Source organism: Homo sapiens, chromosome 15 (assembly GCF_000001405.40).
Source record: "Homo sapiens chromosome 15, GRCh38.p14 Primary Assembly".
Lineage (NCBI taxonomy): Eukaryota > Metazoa > Chordata > Mammalia > Primates > Hominidae > Homo > Homo sapiens.
In genome coordinates, this window is record NC_000015.10 from 100,364,799 (window position 1) to 100,381,440 (window position 16,642).

General features: G+C 43.1%; 1 long non-coding RNA gene across 1 annotated transcript in view; it reads left to right on the forward strand.

Moving 5' to 3' along the window:
- The first annotated feature begins 8,140 nt into the window (after positions 1 to 8,140).
- The window catches only part of CERS3-AS1 (CERS3 antisense RNA 1), a 64,976-nt gene continuing 56,474 nt past the window's right edge, over positions 8,141 to 16,642 (forward strand). The window contains exon 1 of the long non-coding RNA NR_120374.1: positions 8,141 to 8,194. This is a non-coding gene — a long non-coding RNA (CERS3 antisense RNA 1). The remainder of the gene's footprint in view (positions 8,195 to 16,642) is intronic.

Below are 16,642 nucleotides of genomic sequence, written 5' to 3' on the forward strand. Positions count from 1 at the left end.
CTTATTCATGTAACCAAACACTACCTGTTTCCCCAAAACTTATTGAAATAAAAATAAATTGAATTTTTTAAAAAAGAGAATGCAAACACAAGCCACAGACTGGGAGAAAATTATTTTTTAAAAAAAAGAAAGGAAGAAAACTAAACATAGAATTACCCAACATATGGAAGAGAGGTTATCAGCTGTTGAGGAGAGAGGAGAATGGAGAGTTATTGCTTAAAGGGTGTATGGAGTTTCTGTTTAGGATAATGAAAAAGTTTGGAAATAGTGGTGATGGCTACACAGCAATGTGAATGTACTTAATGCTACTAAACTGTATACTTAAAAATGGCTAAAATGGTAAATTTCATGATATGTATATTTTACCACAATAAAACACACACACACAACAAACACATAAGGAAACACATAGCCCAATTTTTTGAAAAGGGCAAAAGATTCGAATATACATATTACTGAAAAAGATAGGGGAGCGCAGCCAAGATGGCTGAATAGGAACAGCTCCGGTCTACAGCTCCCAGTGTGAGCGACGCAAAAGAGGGGTGATTTCTGCATTTCCATCTGAGGTACCGGGTTCATCTCACTAGGGAGTGCCAGACAGTGTGTGCAGGACAGTGGGTGTAGCGCACCATGCACGAGCTGAAGCAGGGCCAGGCATTGCCTCCCTCGGGAAGTGCAAGGGGTCAGGGAGTTCCCTTTCCTAGTCACAGAAAGGGGTGACAGACGGCACCTGGAAAATCGGGTCACTCCCACCCTAATACTGCGCTTTTCCGACGGGCTTAAAAAACGGCACACCAGGAGATTATATCCTGCGCATGGCTCGGAGGGTCCCACACCCACGGAGTCACACTGATTGCTAGCACAGCAGTCTGAGATCAAACTGCAAGGCAGCAGCGAGGCTGGGGGAGGGGCGCCCGCCATTGCCCAGGCTTACTTAGGTAAACAAAGCAGCCTAAAGCTCGAACTGGGTGGAGCCCACCACAGCCCAAGGAGGCCTGCCTGTCTCTGTAGGCTCCACCTATGGGGGCAGGGCACAGCCAAACAAAAAGACAGCAGTAACCTCTGCAGACTTAAATGTCCCTGTCTGACAGCTTTGAAGAGAGCAGTGGTTCTCCCAGCACACAGCTGGAGATCTGAGAACGGGCAGACTGCCTCCTCAAGTGGGTCCCTGACCCCTGACCCCTGAGCAGCCTAACAGGGAGGCACCCCCCAGCAGGGGCACACTGACACCTCACAGGGCCCAGTACTCCAACAGACCTGCAGCTGAGGGTCCTGTCTGTTAGAAGGAAAACTAACAAACAGAAAGGACATCCACACCAAAAACCCATTTGTACATCACCATCATCAAAGACCAAAAGTAGATAAAACCACAAAGATGGGGAAAAAACAGAGCAGACAAACTGGAAACTCTAAAAAGCAGAGCGCCTCTCCTCCTTCAAAGGAACGCAGCTCCTCACCAGCAACAGAACAAAGGTGGACAGAGAATGACTTTGACGAGTTGAGAGAAGAAGGCTTCAGACGATCAAGCTACTCCGAGCTACAGGAGGAAATTCAAACCAAAGGCGAAGAAGTTAAAAACTTTGAAAAAAATTTAGATGAATGTATAACTAGAATGACCAATACAGAGAAGGGCTTAAAGGAGCTGATGGAGCTGAAAGCCAAGGCTCGAGAACTACGTGAAGAATGCAGAAGCCTCAGGAGCCGATGCGATCAACTAGAAGAAAGGGTATCAGTGATGGAAGATGAAATGAATGAAATGAAGCGAGAAGGGAAGTTTAGAGAAAGAAGAATAAAAACAAACAAACAAAGCCTCCAAGAAATATGGGACTATGTGAAAAGACCAAATCTACGTCTGACTGGTGTACCTCAAAGTGACGAGGAGAATGGAACCAAGTTGGAAAACACTCTGCAGGATATTATCTAGGAGAACTTCCCCAATTTAGCAAGGCAGGCCAACATTCAGATTCAGGAAATACAGAGAACGCCACAAAGATACTCCTCGAGAAGAGCAACTCCAAGACACATAATTGTCAGATTCACCAAAGTTGAAATCAAGGAAAAAATGTTAAGGGCAGCCAGAGAGAAAGGTCGGGTTCCCCACAAAGGGAAGCCCATCAGACTAACAGCGGATCTCTCGGCAGAAACTCTACAAGCCAGAAGAGAGTGGGGGCCAATATTCAACATTCTTAAAGAAAAGAATTTTCAACCCAGAATTTCATATCCAGCCAAACTAAGCTTCGTAAGTGAAGGAGAAATAAAATACTTTACAGACAAGCAAATGCTGAGAGATTTCGTCACCACCAGGCCTACCCTAAAAAAACTCCTGAAGGAAGCACTAAACATGGAAAGGAACAACCAGTACCAGCCACTGCAAAATCGTGCCAAATTGTAAAGACCATCGAGGCTAGGAAGAAACTGCATCAACTAACGAGCAAAATAACCAGCTAACATCACAATGGCAGGATCAAATTCACAAATAACAATATTAACTTTAAATGTAAATGGACTAAATGCTCCAATTAAAAGACACAGACTGGCAAATTGGATAAAGAGTCAAGACCCATCAGTGTGCTGTATTCAGGAAACCCATCTCACGTGCAGAGACACACATAGGCTCAAAATAAAAGGATGGAGGAAGATCTACCAAGCCAATGGAAAACAAAAAAAGGCAGGGGTTGCAATCCTAGTCTCTGATAAAACAGACTTTAAACCAACAAAGATCAAAAGAGACAAAGAAGGCCATTACATAATGGTAAAGGGATCAATTCAACAAGAAGAGCTAACTATCCTAAATATATATGCACCCAATACAGGAGCACCCAGATTCATAAAGCAAGTCCTGAGTGACCTACAAAGAGACTTAGACTCCCACACAATAATAATGGGAGACTTTAACACCCCACTGTCAACATTAGACAGATCAACGAGTCAGAAAGTTAACAAGGATACCCAGGAATTGAACTCAGCTCTGCACCAAGCAGACCTAATAGACATCTACAGAACTCTCCACCCCAAATCAACAGAATATACATTTTTTTCAGCACCACACCACACCTATTCCAAAATTGACCACATAGTTGGAAGTAAAGCACTCCTCATCAAATGTAAAAGAACAGAAATTATAACAAACTGTCTCTCAGACCACAGTGCAATCAAACTAGAACTCAGGATTAAGAAACTCACTTAAAACTGCTCAACTACATGGAAACTGAACAACCTGCTCCTGAATGACTACTGCGTACATAATGAAATGAAGGCAGAAATAAAGATGTTCTTTGAAACCAACGAGAACAAAGACACAACATACCAGAATCTCTGGGACACATTCAAAGCAGTGTGTAGAGGGAAATTTATAGCACTAAATGCCCACAAGAGAAAGCAGGAAAGATCCAAAATTGACACCCTAACATCACAATTAAAAGAACTAGAAAAGCAAGAGCAAACACATTTCAAAAGCTAGCAGAAGGCAAGAAATAACTAAAATCAGAGCAGAACTGAAGGAAATAGAGTCACAAAAAACCCCTCAAAAAATTAATGAATCCAGGAGCTGGTTTTTTGAAAGGATCAACAAAATTGATAGACCACTAGCAAGACTAATAAAGAAGAAAAGAGACAAGAATCAAATAGACGCAATAAAAAATGATAAAGGGGATATCACCAGCGATCCCACAGAAATACAAACTACCATCAGAGAATACTATAAATACCTCTACCCAAATAAACTAGAAAATCTAGAAGAAATGGATAAATTCCTTAACACATACACCCTCCCAAGACTAAACCAGGAAGAAGTTGAATCTCTCAATAGACCAATAACAGGCTCTGAAATTGAGGCAATAATTAATAGCTTACCAACCACAAAGAGTCCAGGACCAGATGGATTCACAGCCGAATTCTACCAGAGGTACAAGGAGGAGCTGGTACCATTCCTTCTGAAACTATTCCAATCAATAGAAAAAGAGGGAATCCTCCCTAACTCATTTGATGAGGCCAGCATCATCCTGATACCAAAGCCAGGCAGAGACACAACCAAAAAAGAGAATTTTAGACCAATATCCTTGATGAACATTGATGCAAAAATGCTCAGTAAAATACTGGCAAACCGAATCCAGCAGCACATCAAAAAGCTTATCCACCATGATCAAGTGGGCTTCATCCCTGGGATGCAAGGCTGGTTCAATATATGAAAATCAATAAATTTAATACAGCACATAAACAGAACCAAAGACAAAAACCACATGATTATCTCAATAGATGCAGAAAAGGCCTTTGACAAAATTCAACAACTCTTCATGCTAAAAACTCTCAATAAATTAGGTATTGATGGGACGTATTTCAAAATAATAAGAGCTATCTATGACAAACCCACAGCCAATATCATACTGAATGGGCAAAAACTGGAAGCATTCCCTTCAAAAACTGGCACAAGACAGGGATGCCCTCTCTCACCACTCCTATTCAACATAGTGTTGGAAGTTCTGGCTAGGGCAATTAGGCAGGAGAAGGAAATAAAGGGTATTCAATCAGGAAAAGAGGAAATCAAATTGTCCCTGTTTGCAGATGACATGATTGTATATCTAGAAAACCCCATCGTCTCAGCCCAAAATCTCCTTAAGCTGATAAGCAATTCAGCAAAGTCGCAGGATACAAAATCAATGTACAAAAATCACAAGCATTCTTATACACCAATAACAGACAAACAGAGAGCCAAATCATGAGTGAACTCCCATTCACAATTGCTTCAAAGAGAATAAAATACCTAGGAATCCAACTTACAAGGGACGTGAAGGACCTCTTCAAGGAGAACTACAAACCACTGCTCAATGAAATAAAAGAGGATACCAACAAATGGAAGAACATTCCATGCTCATGGGTAGGAAGAATCAATATCATGAAAATGGCCATACTGCCCAAGGTAATTTATAGATTCAGTGCCATCTCCATCAAGCTACCAATGACTTTCTTCACAGAACTGGAAAAAACTACTTTAAAGTTCATATGGAACCAAAAGAGAGCCCACATCGCCAAGTCAATCCTAAGCCAAAAGAACAAAGCTGGAGGCATCATGCTACGTGACTTCAAACTATACTACAAGGCTACAGCAACCAAAACAGCATGGTGCTGGTACCAAAACAGAGATATAGATCAATGGAACAGAACAGAGTCCTCAGAAATAATGCCGCATATCTACAACTATCTGATCTTTGACAAACCTGAGAAAAACAAGCAATGGGGAAAGGATTCCCTATTTAATAAATAGTGTTGGGAAAACTGGCTAGCCATATGTAGAAAGCTGAAACTGGATCCCTTCTTTACACCTTATACAAAAATCAATTCAAGATGGATTAAAGACTTAAACGTTAGACCTAAAACCATAAAAACCCTAGAAGAAAACCTAGGCATTACCATTCAGGACATAGGCATGGGCAAGGACTTCATGTCTAAAACACCAAAAGCAATGGCAACAAAAGCCAGAATTGACAAATGGGATCGAATTAAACTAAAGAGCTTCTGCACAGCAAAAGAAACTACCATCAGAGTGAACAGGCAACCTACAAAATGGGAGAAAATTTTCGCAACCTACTCATCTGACAAAGGGCTAATATCCAGAATCTACAATGAACTCAAACAAATTTACAAGAAACAAACAAACAACCCCATCAAAAAGTGGGTGAAGGACATGAACAGACACTTCTCAAAAGAAGACATTTATGCAGCCAAAAGACACATGAAAAAATGCTCACCATCACTGGCCATCAGAGAAATGCAAATCAAAACCACAATGAGATACCATCTCACACCAGTTAGAATGGCGATCATTAAAAAGTCAGGAAACAACAGGTGCTGGAGAGGATGTGGAGAAATAGGAACACTTTTACACTGTTGGTGGGACTGTAAACTAGTTCAACGATTGTGGAAGTCAGTGTGGCGATTCCTCAGGGATCTAGAACTAGAAATACCATTTGACCCAGCCATCCTATTACTGGGTATATACCCAAAGGACTATAAATCATGCTGCTATAAAGACACATGCACATGTATGTTTATTGCAGCACTATTCACAATAGCAAAGACTTGGAACCAACCCAGATGTCCCACAATGATAGACTGGATTAAGAAAATGTGGCACATAGACACCATGGAATACTATGCAGCCATAAAAAATGATGAGTACATGTCCTTTGTAGGGACATGGATGAAATTGGAAATCATCATTCTCAGTAAACTATCACCAAGGACAAAAAAACCAAACACCACATGTTCTCACTCATAGGTGGGAATTGAACAATGAGAACACATGGACACAGGAAGGGGAATATCACACTCTGGGGACTGTTTTGGGGTGGGGGGAGGGGGGAGGGATAGCATTAGGAGATATACCTAATGCTAAATGAGAAGTTAATGGGTGCAGCACACCAGCATGGCACATGTATACATATGTAACTAACCGGCACATTGTGCACATGTACCCTAAAACTTAAAGTATAATAATAAAAAATAAATAAATAAATAAAAATAAATAAAGAAAGAAAAAGATATATAGATGGAAAATAAATTTTGACAGGTGCTCAATATCATTAACTAGTCTTTAGGGAAGTGCAAATTTAAAACTCCAATAAACTAACCACACTAAGTGTTGGTGAGGATGTGAAGGAATTGGAACTTTTTGTACATTACTGGTGAGAACATAAAATGGTACAACCACATTTTGGCAGCTTCTTAAAGAGTTAAACATCCACCTACCCAGCATATACCTATACAAAGACTTGTAAATGAATGATCATGACAGTTTTATTTGTAATATCCCCAAATGCAAGCAATCCAAATGCTGAACAGGTAAACAGACAAGCAGAGTGTAGAATATAGAATATACAATGGAATAAACAATTATGAACTAGGTATACCTGCAACGATATAAATGAATCTCAGAATAACTATTGAGTAGGGGAAGCCAGACTGAAGGAAAGAACGGATGTTCCTTTTTATGGCCGCTTAGCATTCCATGGTGTATAGGTACCACATTTTCTTCATCCAATCCACTGCTGATGGGCATCTAGGTTGATTCCATGTCTTTGCTATTGTAAACAACGCTTTGATGAACATATGGGTGCACGTGCCTTTTTGATAAAATGACTTACTTGCCTTTGGGTATATACCTAGTAATGGATTGCTGGGTCGAATAGCAGTTCTAAGTGCTTTCAGAAATCTCCAAACTGCCTTCCACAGTGGCTGAACTAGTTTTTATTCCCAGCAAGTGTATAAGGGTTCCCTCTTCCCCGCAGCCTCACAAGCATTGGTTGTTTATTGACTTTTTCATAATCGCCATTCTGACCGGTGTGAGACGTTATCTCATTGTGGTCATGTCCTTCGCAGCAACATGGATGGCAGCCATTGTCCTAAGGAATTAACCCAAGAATGGGAAACCAAATAACGCATGTTCTCACTTATAAGTGGGACCTAAACATTGAATACACATAGACATAAAGATGGGAGCAGCAGACACTGGGGACGACTAGGGAGGGAGGGAGGCAGGGAGGGAGTGGAACAGAACGTGGGCTGAAAAACTACTACTCACTACCTGGGTGACTGGATCATCTGTACCCCAACCTTCAGCACCCTGCAATATACTCATGAAACAAACCTGCACATGTACCCTTTAATCTAAAATAAAAGTTGAAATTGTTTTTTTAAAAAAGAGCACATAGTATATTATTCCATTTACATAAAATTTTAGAAAACACAAATGAATGTGTTGACAAATCAGTGGTTGCCTGGAGAAGGGGGAGTGCAGAGAGGTACATGGGGAATAAATTATAAAGGGACTGGAGGAGATGTTTGGAGGTGGTGAATGTGTTCACTATGTTGATTGCGGTGATGATTTCATGGACGTACACATCTGTAGAAACGTTGGTGTGTACATATGTTGTATTCTCAAATTGTCCACTCTGAGTACGAGCAGTGGGGATTAAGAGGAAAATAATAGTAGAGAACAAAATCAGAGCTTGGCATGGCTCTCTGCTGGCACCGTGCAGGGTGTGATTACATCAGATCTGTGCAACTCAGATCTTGGGGAGGGGTTGGGGGGTGGAAGGTGGAGGGAGGAAGGGAGAGAAAACAGAGGGCGGGAAGAAGGGAAGGAAGTGAAGAAGGGAATGAGGGACGGAAAGAGAGAGACAGCGAAGAGAGGAGAAAGGTGAGTGCATTCTGGAAATCACCGGCAGCTCCGCTCCGCAGAAAGGCCTTGGCCTGTGCCATCTGAGGGTGAAGTTACGTGGTTATCAAATTCCCCTTCCCTGGAGCCCCTGGCAAGAAGTTGATGCCAGAAACAGACGGAGGGGGTGCGAGGAGGGAGGGAATCAGACCTTTTGTTTCTCTTTTTCCCCCTAGGACCTGGTCTCATGCTTCTCCCCCTCATCTCTCCCAGGGCACCCCTCCGACCCCCGCTGCGAGGGGTTTCCCGCGGGAGGTGGACGAAGCGTGGGCCAGGACAGGCGCCTGGCACTGGGGTTTCAGAGCCGCGAGTAGGCCCTGAAGGCCGGGAGGGACCGCCAGTCCCCACTGGAAGCCGCTTCCGTGCAGCCCGGGACAGGTGCGCGGCGCCCCTCGCCTTCGCCTCCGCTTCTGCTCTTCCCCTCGCGGCCCCGCGCGCCCGCGCCCTCCGCCCAGACCCCGGTGCAGCCCGGCCAGGCGCGGCGGCGGCGGCGTCTCCAGCGAGGGAAGGTCGTCCTCACGCGCTCCGGCCTCAGGGCGCCTCTCCGCCCGGCCTCGCAGCCTTCCCGTCCTGCCCACGGCCGAGGCCGCGGCTGTCGGGGTGGCCTGGACGGGTGCAGGGCTGGGCGGGGGCGGCAGGACTTGAACCGGCGCCTGCTCTCGCGGAGGCAGCAGCAGAGCTCACCCCTTTCTCGGGAAATGGTTTATCGTGGATAAAACGCAGTCCCCAAAGCGAAGGTCCGACGGGCGGCCAGACGCACCCCGGGGACCTTCAGGTGGACACACGGGGCCTCCGCGCGCCGAGCCGCGAGGGAAGAGGGGCGGCGGGAGGGAGGGAGCAGTGGGCGGCCGGGGAGCCTGGCAGAAGAGTGGGGGCGAGCAGGGAAGGAGGGGCGTCGGGAGGCGGGGGGAGGGGCGGTGAGGACCCCAGTGGGGTGGGGGCGGGGTGGAGCCGAGAAGAGCCGGGAGAGTGGGGACCCTCTGGCCACTCCAGAAAGACCTACTGGATCTCCTCTCCTGCCCTCGCTCACCCTTACCCTCTGTCTCCCATTCACTCTTCGGTTTGCTCTGGTGATTCATTCTCTCTCTCTTTCTCCTTCCCTCCCTCCCTCCCTGTCTCTCCCTCCCTCCCTCTCTCTCCCTCCCTCCCTCTCTCTCCCTCTCTCCCTCCTTCCCCCACCCAATCCTGGGCTGCTGCGTGAGCTTTACACTGAGGTGCCCAAACCAGCGCAGTCGTGGTGCCTGCAGAGGCTGGACTAGCCCCTGCAGGTGACCACAGACTCTCTGCAGTAACCCCCAGCCAGGCATTTTCCTGAGCACTCTCATCAGAAGGACCACATTTGGTCACTCTGTTCTTGGATGTCCCTCTTGTGCCGGAAGCCCATAATTTGACTTGATTTGTTGAATTGCTCCCGATTGTTTTTTTTTCTTAATTCTAAGAGATAGGTATAATGAGATGGTTGTCATGGCCCATTTAATAGAATCAGGGACCAAAAGACACCCATCCCATCGTTCAACTTCCCATCTATTTTCTCACCCTAGCAGGGTTTCTTCGCTGGATGGGGAAAGGAGCTGACCCATCCTTACCACCCCCCTAATTCCTTTATTAGCACCTAAAAAGAAATGAGGATCAAGCCATGAAAAGACATGAGGAACCTTAAGTGTATATTATTAAATAACAGAAGCCAATCTGAAAACTACATGCTGTATGATTCCAACTATAGGAGATTCTGGAAAAGGCAAAACTATGGAGGCAGTAAAGAATTTTGAGACAGGATTTCATTCTGTCACCCAGGCTGGAGTGCAGTGGCACGATCGTGGTTCACTGTACCCTCGACCTCCTGGACTCAGATGATCCTCCCACCTCAGCCTCCTGAGACTACAGGCACGTGCCACCATGCCTGCCTCATTTTTTGTAGAGATGCGGATTTGCCATGTTGCCCAGACTGGTCGCAAACTCCTGGACTCAAGCAATCCACTTGCCTCGGCCTCCCAAAGTGCTGGGATTATAGGTGTGAGCCATTGCTCCTGGCCTCTTGTTGAGTTTTAAGAGTTCTTTCTATATATTGGATAACAGTCCTTTATCAGATATATCTTTTACAAACATTTTCTCCCAGTCTGTAGCTTGTCTTCTGATTTTCTTGACAGTGTCTTTCTCAGAGTAGAAGTTTTTAAAAGTCCAGCTTATCAATTATTTCTTTGATGGATTGTATCTTGGGTGTTGTATCCAAAAAGTCATCTTCAAACCCAAGGTTATCTAGACCTTCTCTTATGTTATCTGCTAGGAGTTTTATATTTTTGCGTTTTACGATTAGGTCTATGATTAATTTTGAGTTAATTTTTGTGAAGGGTGTAAGGTCTGTGTGTAGACTCACTATTTTGCTTGTGGATATCTAGTTGTCCCAGCACTATTTGTTGAAGAAAAACTGTCTTTTCGCCATTGTATTGCCTTTGCTCGTTTGTCAAAGATAAGTTGACTATGTTAGTGTGGGTCTGTTTCTGGGCTCTGTACTATTCCATTAATCTGTTTGTCTATTTTACCAATACCACACTGTCTTGAGTATTGTACCTTTATAGTAAGTCTTGAGACTGGGTAGTGTCAATCATCTGACTTTGTTCTCCTTCAGTATTTTTATGGCTACTGTGGGTCTTTTGCTTCCCATATAAACTTTAGAATCAGTTTGTCAATATCCACAAAATAACTTGCTGAGATTTTGATTGGGATTGCGTTGAGTCTGTAGATTGAGTTGAGAAGAACTGACATCTTGACAATAATGCATCTTCCTATCTGTGAACATGGAATATCGCTCCGTATATTTAGTACTTTGATTTATTTCATCAGAGTTTTGTACTTTTCCTCATACAGATCTTATACGTATTTTGTTAGACTTAAACCTAAGTATTTCATTGTGTGGGGGTGCTAAATGGTACATGTTTTTAATGTCAAATTCCACTTGTTCATTACTGGTATATAAGAAAGTGATAGACTTTTGTATATTAACCTTATATACTGTAAACTTGCTATAATCACTTCTTATAGGCTTTTTTTTGTCAATTCTTTCTGATTTTCTCCATAGATGATCATGTCATCTGAGCGCAAAGACAGTTTCTTTCTTTCTTCCCAATTCAATTATCTTTTATTTCCTTTTCTTGTCTTATTTCATAAGCTAGGACTTCCAGTATTATGTTAAATAGCAGTTGTGAGAGGGGACATCCTTGACTTTTTCCTGATCTTAGCAGGAGAACTTCTAATTTCTCACCATTGAGTATAATTTTACCTGCAGGATTTTTTTTTTTGGATGTCCTTTATCAAGTTAAAGAAGTTCTCCTTTCTTCCTAGTTTGCTGAGAATTCAGGATAATTTGATTGGGGTATAATTACAAGCAGTAAAATGAACACATCTTAAGTGTTCATTTGAACATTTTGAGAGTGGTATTCACTCAGGTAACCACAACTCCAAATAAGACACAGAACATTTCTATCACTTAAAAAGTTTCATAATTTCCCAGTCAATTCTCCCCATCTCAAAAAAAACCACTTTCTAATTGCTATAATCTAAGATTATTTTTGCCTGTGTTTGGACATTGTACAAATTATTCCATGCAATAGGTATCGTCTCTGACATCTTTTAGCCAACATGATATTTTGGAGATTCATCCATGTTGCAGTATGTATCACTTGTTTATTCTTTTATATTACAGAGTAGATTCCATTGTATAAATATACTTTGATTTATTTATCAGTTCTCCTTGATGGACATTTGAAAATATATTCAGTGTTTGGCTATTATAATGATGCCGTTTGATGAGCAGAGACTTGTTAATTTAACATTTTACTTCATAGTTAGTGCTTTTTGCATCCAATCTAAAAAATCTTTATCTACATCAAAGTCTCAAACATATGTTCTTATGTTTTATTGTAGTTTTATTGTTTTAGCTTTTACATTCAGGTCTATGATCCATTTCTTTTTTTTTTTCTGTTCTGTACAAGGTTGTAATACTTTTTTTTTAATTTTTATTTTATTATACTTTAAGTTCTAGGGTACATGTGCACAACTTGCAGGTTTGTTACATATGTATACATGTGCCATGTTGGTGTGCTGCACCCATTAACTCATCATTTACATTAGGTATATCTCCTAATGCTATCCCTCCCCCCTCCCCCCACCCCACAACAGGCCCCGGTGTGTGATGTCCCCCTTCCTGTGTCCAAGTGTTCTCATTGTTCAATTCCCACCTATGAGTGAGAACAAGCGATGTTTGGTTTTTTGTCCTTGCGATAGTTTGCTGAGAATGATGGTTTCCAGCTTCATCCATGTCCCTACAAAGGACATGAACTCATTCTATGATCCATTTCAAATTAATTTTTGTCTCTGGTGTGAGTAGAGGCTAAGGTTCACAGCAACTTCTGTCTCCCAGGCTCAAGCGATCCTCCAGTCTCAGCCTCCTGAGTAGCTGGGACTACAGGCATGTGCCCCCATGCCCAGCTATTTTTTTTTTTTTTGTATTTTTGGTAGAGGTGGGGTTACACCATATTGCCCAGACTAGTCTCGAGCTCCTGAGCTCAAGCCATCCACCCACCTTGGCCTCCCAAAGTGCTGGGATTATAGGCATGAGCCACTGCGCCTGGCCTATTTCATAGATTCTAAGATGCATTTCTTTTTTTTTCTCATTTTAGCATCTCTGAGGTTGGGGTGCATCTTAACATCATTGTCCACAAACTGTCCTGTGCTGTCATTTTCCCTGTGTCTGAACAAACTTGGTAGTTACACCCGTGACTTGATTGGGTGACCTCAACCTTTGATGTTTCAGTCAATGAACCATTCAGGCATCATTGAGATCATTTTCATCTTGCTTATTTTCCTGAACATCTTTCTGTGAAAATCAAACAAGTCCAAGGATCAAACTCCCAGGTGTCAACAGCTTGGAAGGGTTCCACACACTTTTAAGAAATTTTCTGGCCAGGCACGGTGGCTCATGCCAGGAATCTCAACACTTTGGGAGGCTGAGGTGGGCAGATAGCTTGACGCCAGAAATTCAAGACCAGCCTGGGCAACATGGCAAAAGCCTGTCTCTGTGGAAAATACAAAAATTAGCCAGGCGTGGTGGTGTGCGCCTGTAATCCCAGCTACTCAGGAGGCTGAGGCAGGAGAATCGCTGGAACCTGGGAGGCAGAGCCTGCAGTGAGCTGAGATCGCGCCACCGTACTCCAGACCGAGCGACAGAGCAAGACTCGGTCTCAAGAAAAGAAAAAAAAAAAATGCAACTGAAGGAAACCTAGTGTGCAGAAATGTTTTGAAGAAAACTTCAAAAAAAAATTCTATTAGTCTTAAAGATATGAGAAGATATTACATCCATTAAAGAAGAATAATTTACCATAAAAAATTCAAACAATGAAAAGGGCTCTTAAAAATTTAAAACATGGCTGGGCACAGTGGCTCACACCTGTAATCCCAGCACTTCGGGAGGCCGAGGCAGGCAGATGACCTCAGGTCAGGAATTTGAGACCAGGCTGGCCAACAGGGTGAGACCCCATCTCTACTAAAAATACAAAAAATTAGCTGGGCATGGTGGTGTGAGCCTGTAATCTCAGCTACTTGGGAGGCTGAGGCAGGAGAATTGCTTGAACCCAGTAGGCGGAGGTTGCAGTGAGCCGAGAAAAGAAAAAGAAAAAAGAAATTTGTGAGAGCTGAGCATAAGCCACACTAAATGCACACACAGGAAATATTAATACGTATTAGTTATGTTTTGAGGGCATATGTTCACAAATACAAAACCTCTGGGGAGGCTGAGGCGGGTGGATCATGAGGTCTGGAGTTCAAGACTAGCCTGGCCAACACAGTGAAACCCCCTCTCTACTAAAAATACAAAAATTAGCTGGGCGTGGTGGCAGGTACCTGTAGTCCCAGCTACTCGGGAGGCTGAGGTGGGAGAATTGCTTGAACTCGGGAGGCAGAGGTTACAGTGAGCCAAGATTGTGCCACCACGCTCCAGCCTGGGTGACAGAGCAAGACTCTGCCTTTTCTTTCTCAAAAATCCCTGGAGTCTGCCTTTGCTTCAGAAATTAGTTTATCCAGCTATACTTGATGGAAAACCCAGTGTTTCAGTAGCAGAAAGAGCTTTGTGGTGTAAGCCATTCTAGAATAAGTAGACAGGCTAGGGGTCTCTTCCGTGGGATGCCAGTTAGCTGTGTCCCAAAGACAGACCTCAAAGACTCCATCCCAGGGACACAATGCCTCTCCCGAAGCTAGGACTCTGGAATCAGGACACAGGTTGCTCTCTCTGGACATATTTCTCTAAGTAAACAAGTTGCTCTTCCTTAGAGTAGCTGTTGTGTTGCTGTATTCCCATCACATTCCCAGGGGTGTGAAATAGTAGACTCTCCAGTCTACTAGAGATGGGGCCATTTTCTCAGCAACACTTGCTTGTTATATCCTGTTAAAAAATCTTAACGTAGAAAAATGGGCAAAACATAAATGTATAACTCCATGAACAACTGCAAAGTGAAAACATATATAGTCAATATACATATTTTAAAAAATAAAACATTGTGGGCGGGCACGGTGGCTCACATCTGTAATCCCAGCACTTTGGGAGGCCGAGGCAGGCGGATCACCTAAGGTCGGAAGTTCGAGACCAGCCTGCCCAACATGGAGAAACCCTAACTCTACTAAAAATACAAAATTAGCCGGCATGGTGGCACATGCCTGTAATCCCAGCTACTCGGGAGGCTGAGGCAGGAGAATCGCTTGAACCCGGGAGGCAGAGGTTGCGGTGAGCGAAGATCACACCATTGCACTCCAGCCTGGGAAACAAGAGCGAAACTCCATCTCAAAAAAAAACATTGCCAACACACCAAAAGCCCCAAACAGTATCTGCTATCATTGCTATCATTACTTAAACACTGTGGTATAATTTTTCCAATTATTGAATTTTGATTTTTTAGTATATTCACAAGATTTTGCAGCCGTCACTATAATTTAGAGTATTTTTGTCCTCTGTCAAAGAACCCCCCCATACCCATTCGCTGCCACTTCATACTCCCCACATTCTGTCCCCACCCTAAAGACCTACTTTTTGTCTCCATAGATTTACCTTTTCTGGACACTTTATATAAATGCAATGAGTCTTTTGTGACTAGCTTCTTTAACAGCATAATGCTTCAAGGTTCATCCATGTTATCGAAAGTATGGATATGTCATATCTTTTTATTGCCAAATAACAGTCCATTGTGTGGCTGTACCAATATTTTATGTATTCATTCCTCAGCTGAGAGACATTTGGCTGGTTTTCACTTTCTCGCTATTAACAATAATGCAGCTCTGAACATTTGTGTACAATAAAAATAAATAGCATCCTACAATTAATATGGAAACAGCAGAAATTTATTTCTCATAATTCTGGAGGCTGAGAAGTTCCATATCAAGGATCTGATAGATTCAATGTCTGGTGAGGAAATGCTTCATAAATGGTTCATAAATGGTGCTTTCTTGCTGTGTCTTCATGGTGGAAGGGGTAAGGTCTTCCTGGGGCCTCATTTGTTTACGTATGTATTCATTTATATTTTTGGAGACCCAGCCTGCATCTGGTTTCCCCTTCTTCCTTGAATGTAAACCCTAGAAAGCTGGGCTTTCTTTTGAGAGCTTGGGAGATTTTTGTCTCAACTCAAAGAGACTAGAGGATGACCCATCTATTTTTTCATTAGTTTTAAACTCAGCTTTTTTACTTCCTGTAGAGTTTCAGAATTTGGCAAAAGTCTCAAGGCTCAAGCTGGTTGTCTGAAGCCTTTCAAACCCCCAGTTTTATCACCACATATGAGGTATGCATCCAAGTTTACTTATTTATTTTTTTTGCATGTGGATATTCAATTGTTCCAGCACCATTTGTTGAACTTTAAACATGCATTTAAAGGTGCGTATACATGCTGATTTGTCAAAGGGATAGACTGGGCTAGTTATTTACCTATATTTCTCAACTCTAAACCTTCCTTCTAAATCCTGCTCTGTGCTGCTGGGGCTGAGGCTCTACAAACTCTATGTCCTAGACTCCCTTGCCAGTTGGCTTTCTGTTACATCTGCCAATAAGAACTGTTAATAAGGGACTGATGTTGGGAGAAAAGCTGAGTGTTGGGAGAGAAGTTGAAGCAGGGCTTGGAACATGTCTGGGGCCCGAGGTCTAAACCCCCTCTTGGCCTTTGGAATGTGTCTGGACTTGCTGGCTCCTTGCTTCTAGCACTCCCATTATCTCAAGTAGCCATATGTGTCAAAGAACATGCTAAATCATCACAGCTGTAGCTCATTCACTTGATACACCGCTTCCCTTCAAACCCCACATCCTCACCACCTGTTTCTTTGTTTGATCACCAATAAATAGGGTGAGCTCCCAGAGCTTGGGGCCTTCGCAGCCTCCATACTAGCGTTGGCCCCCTGGTC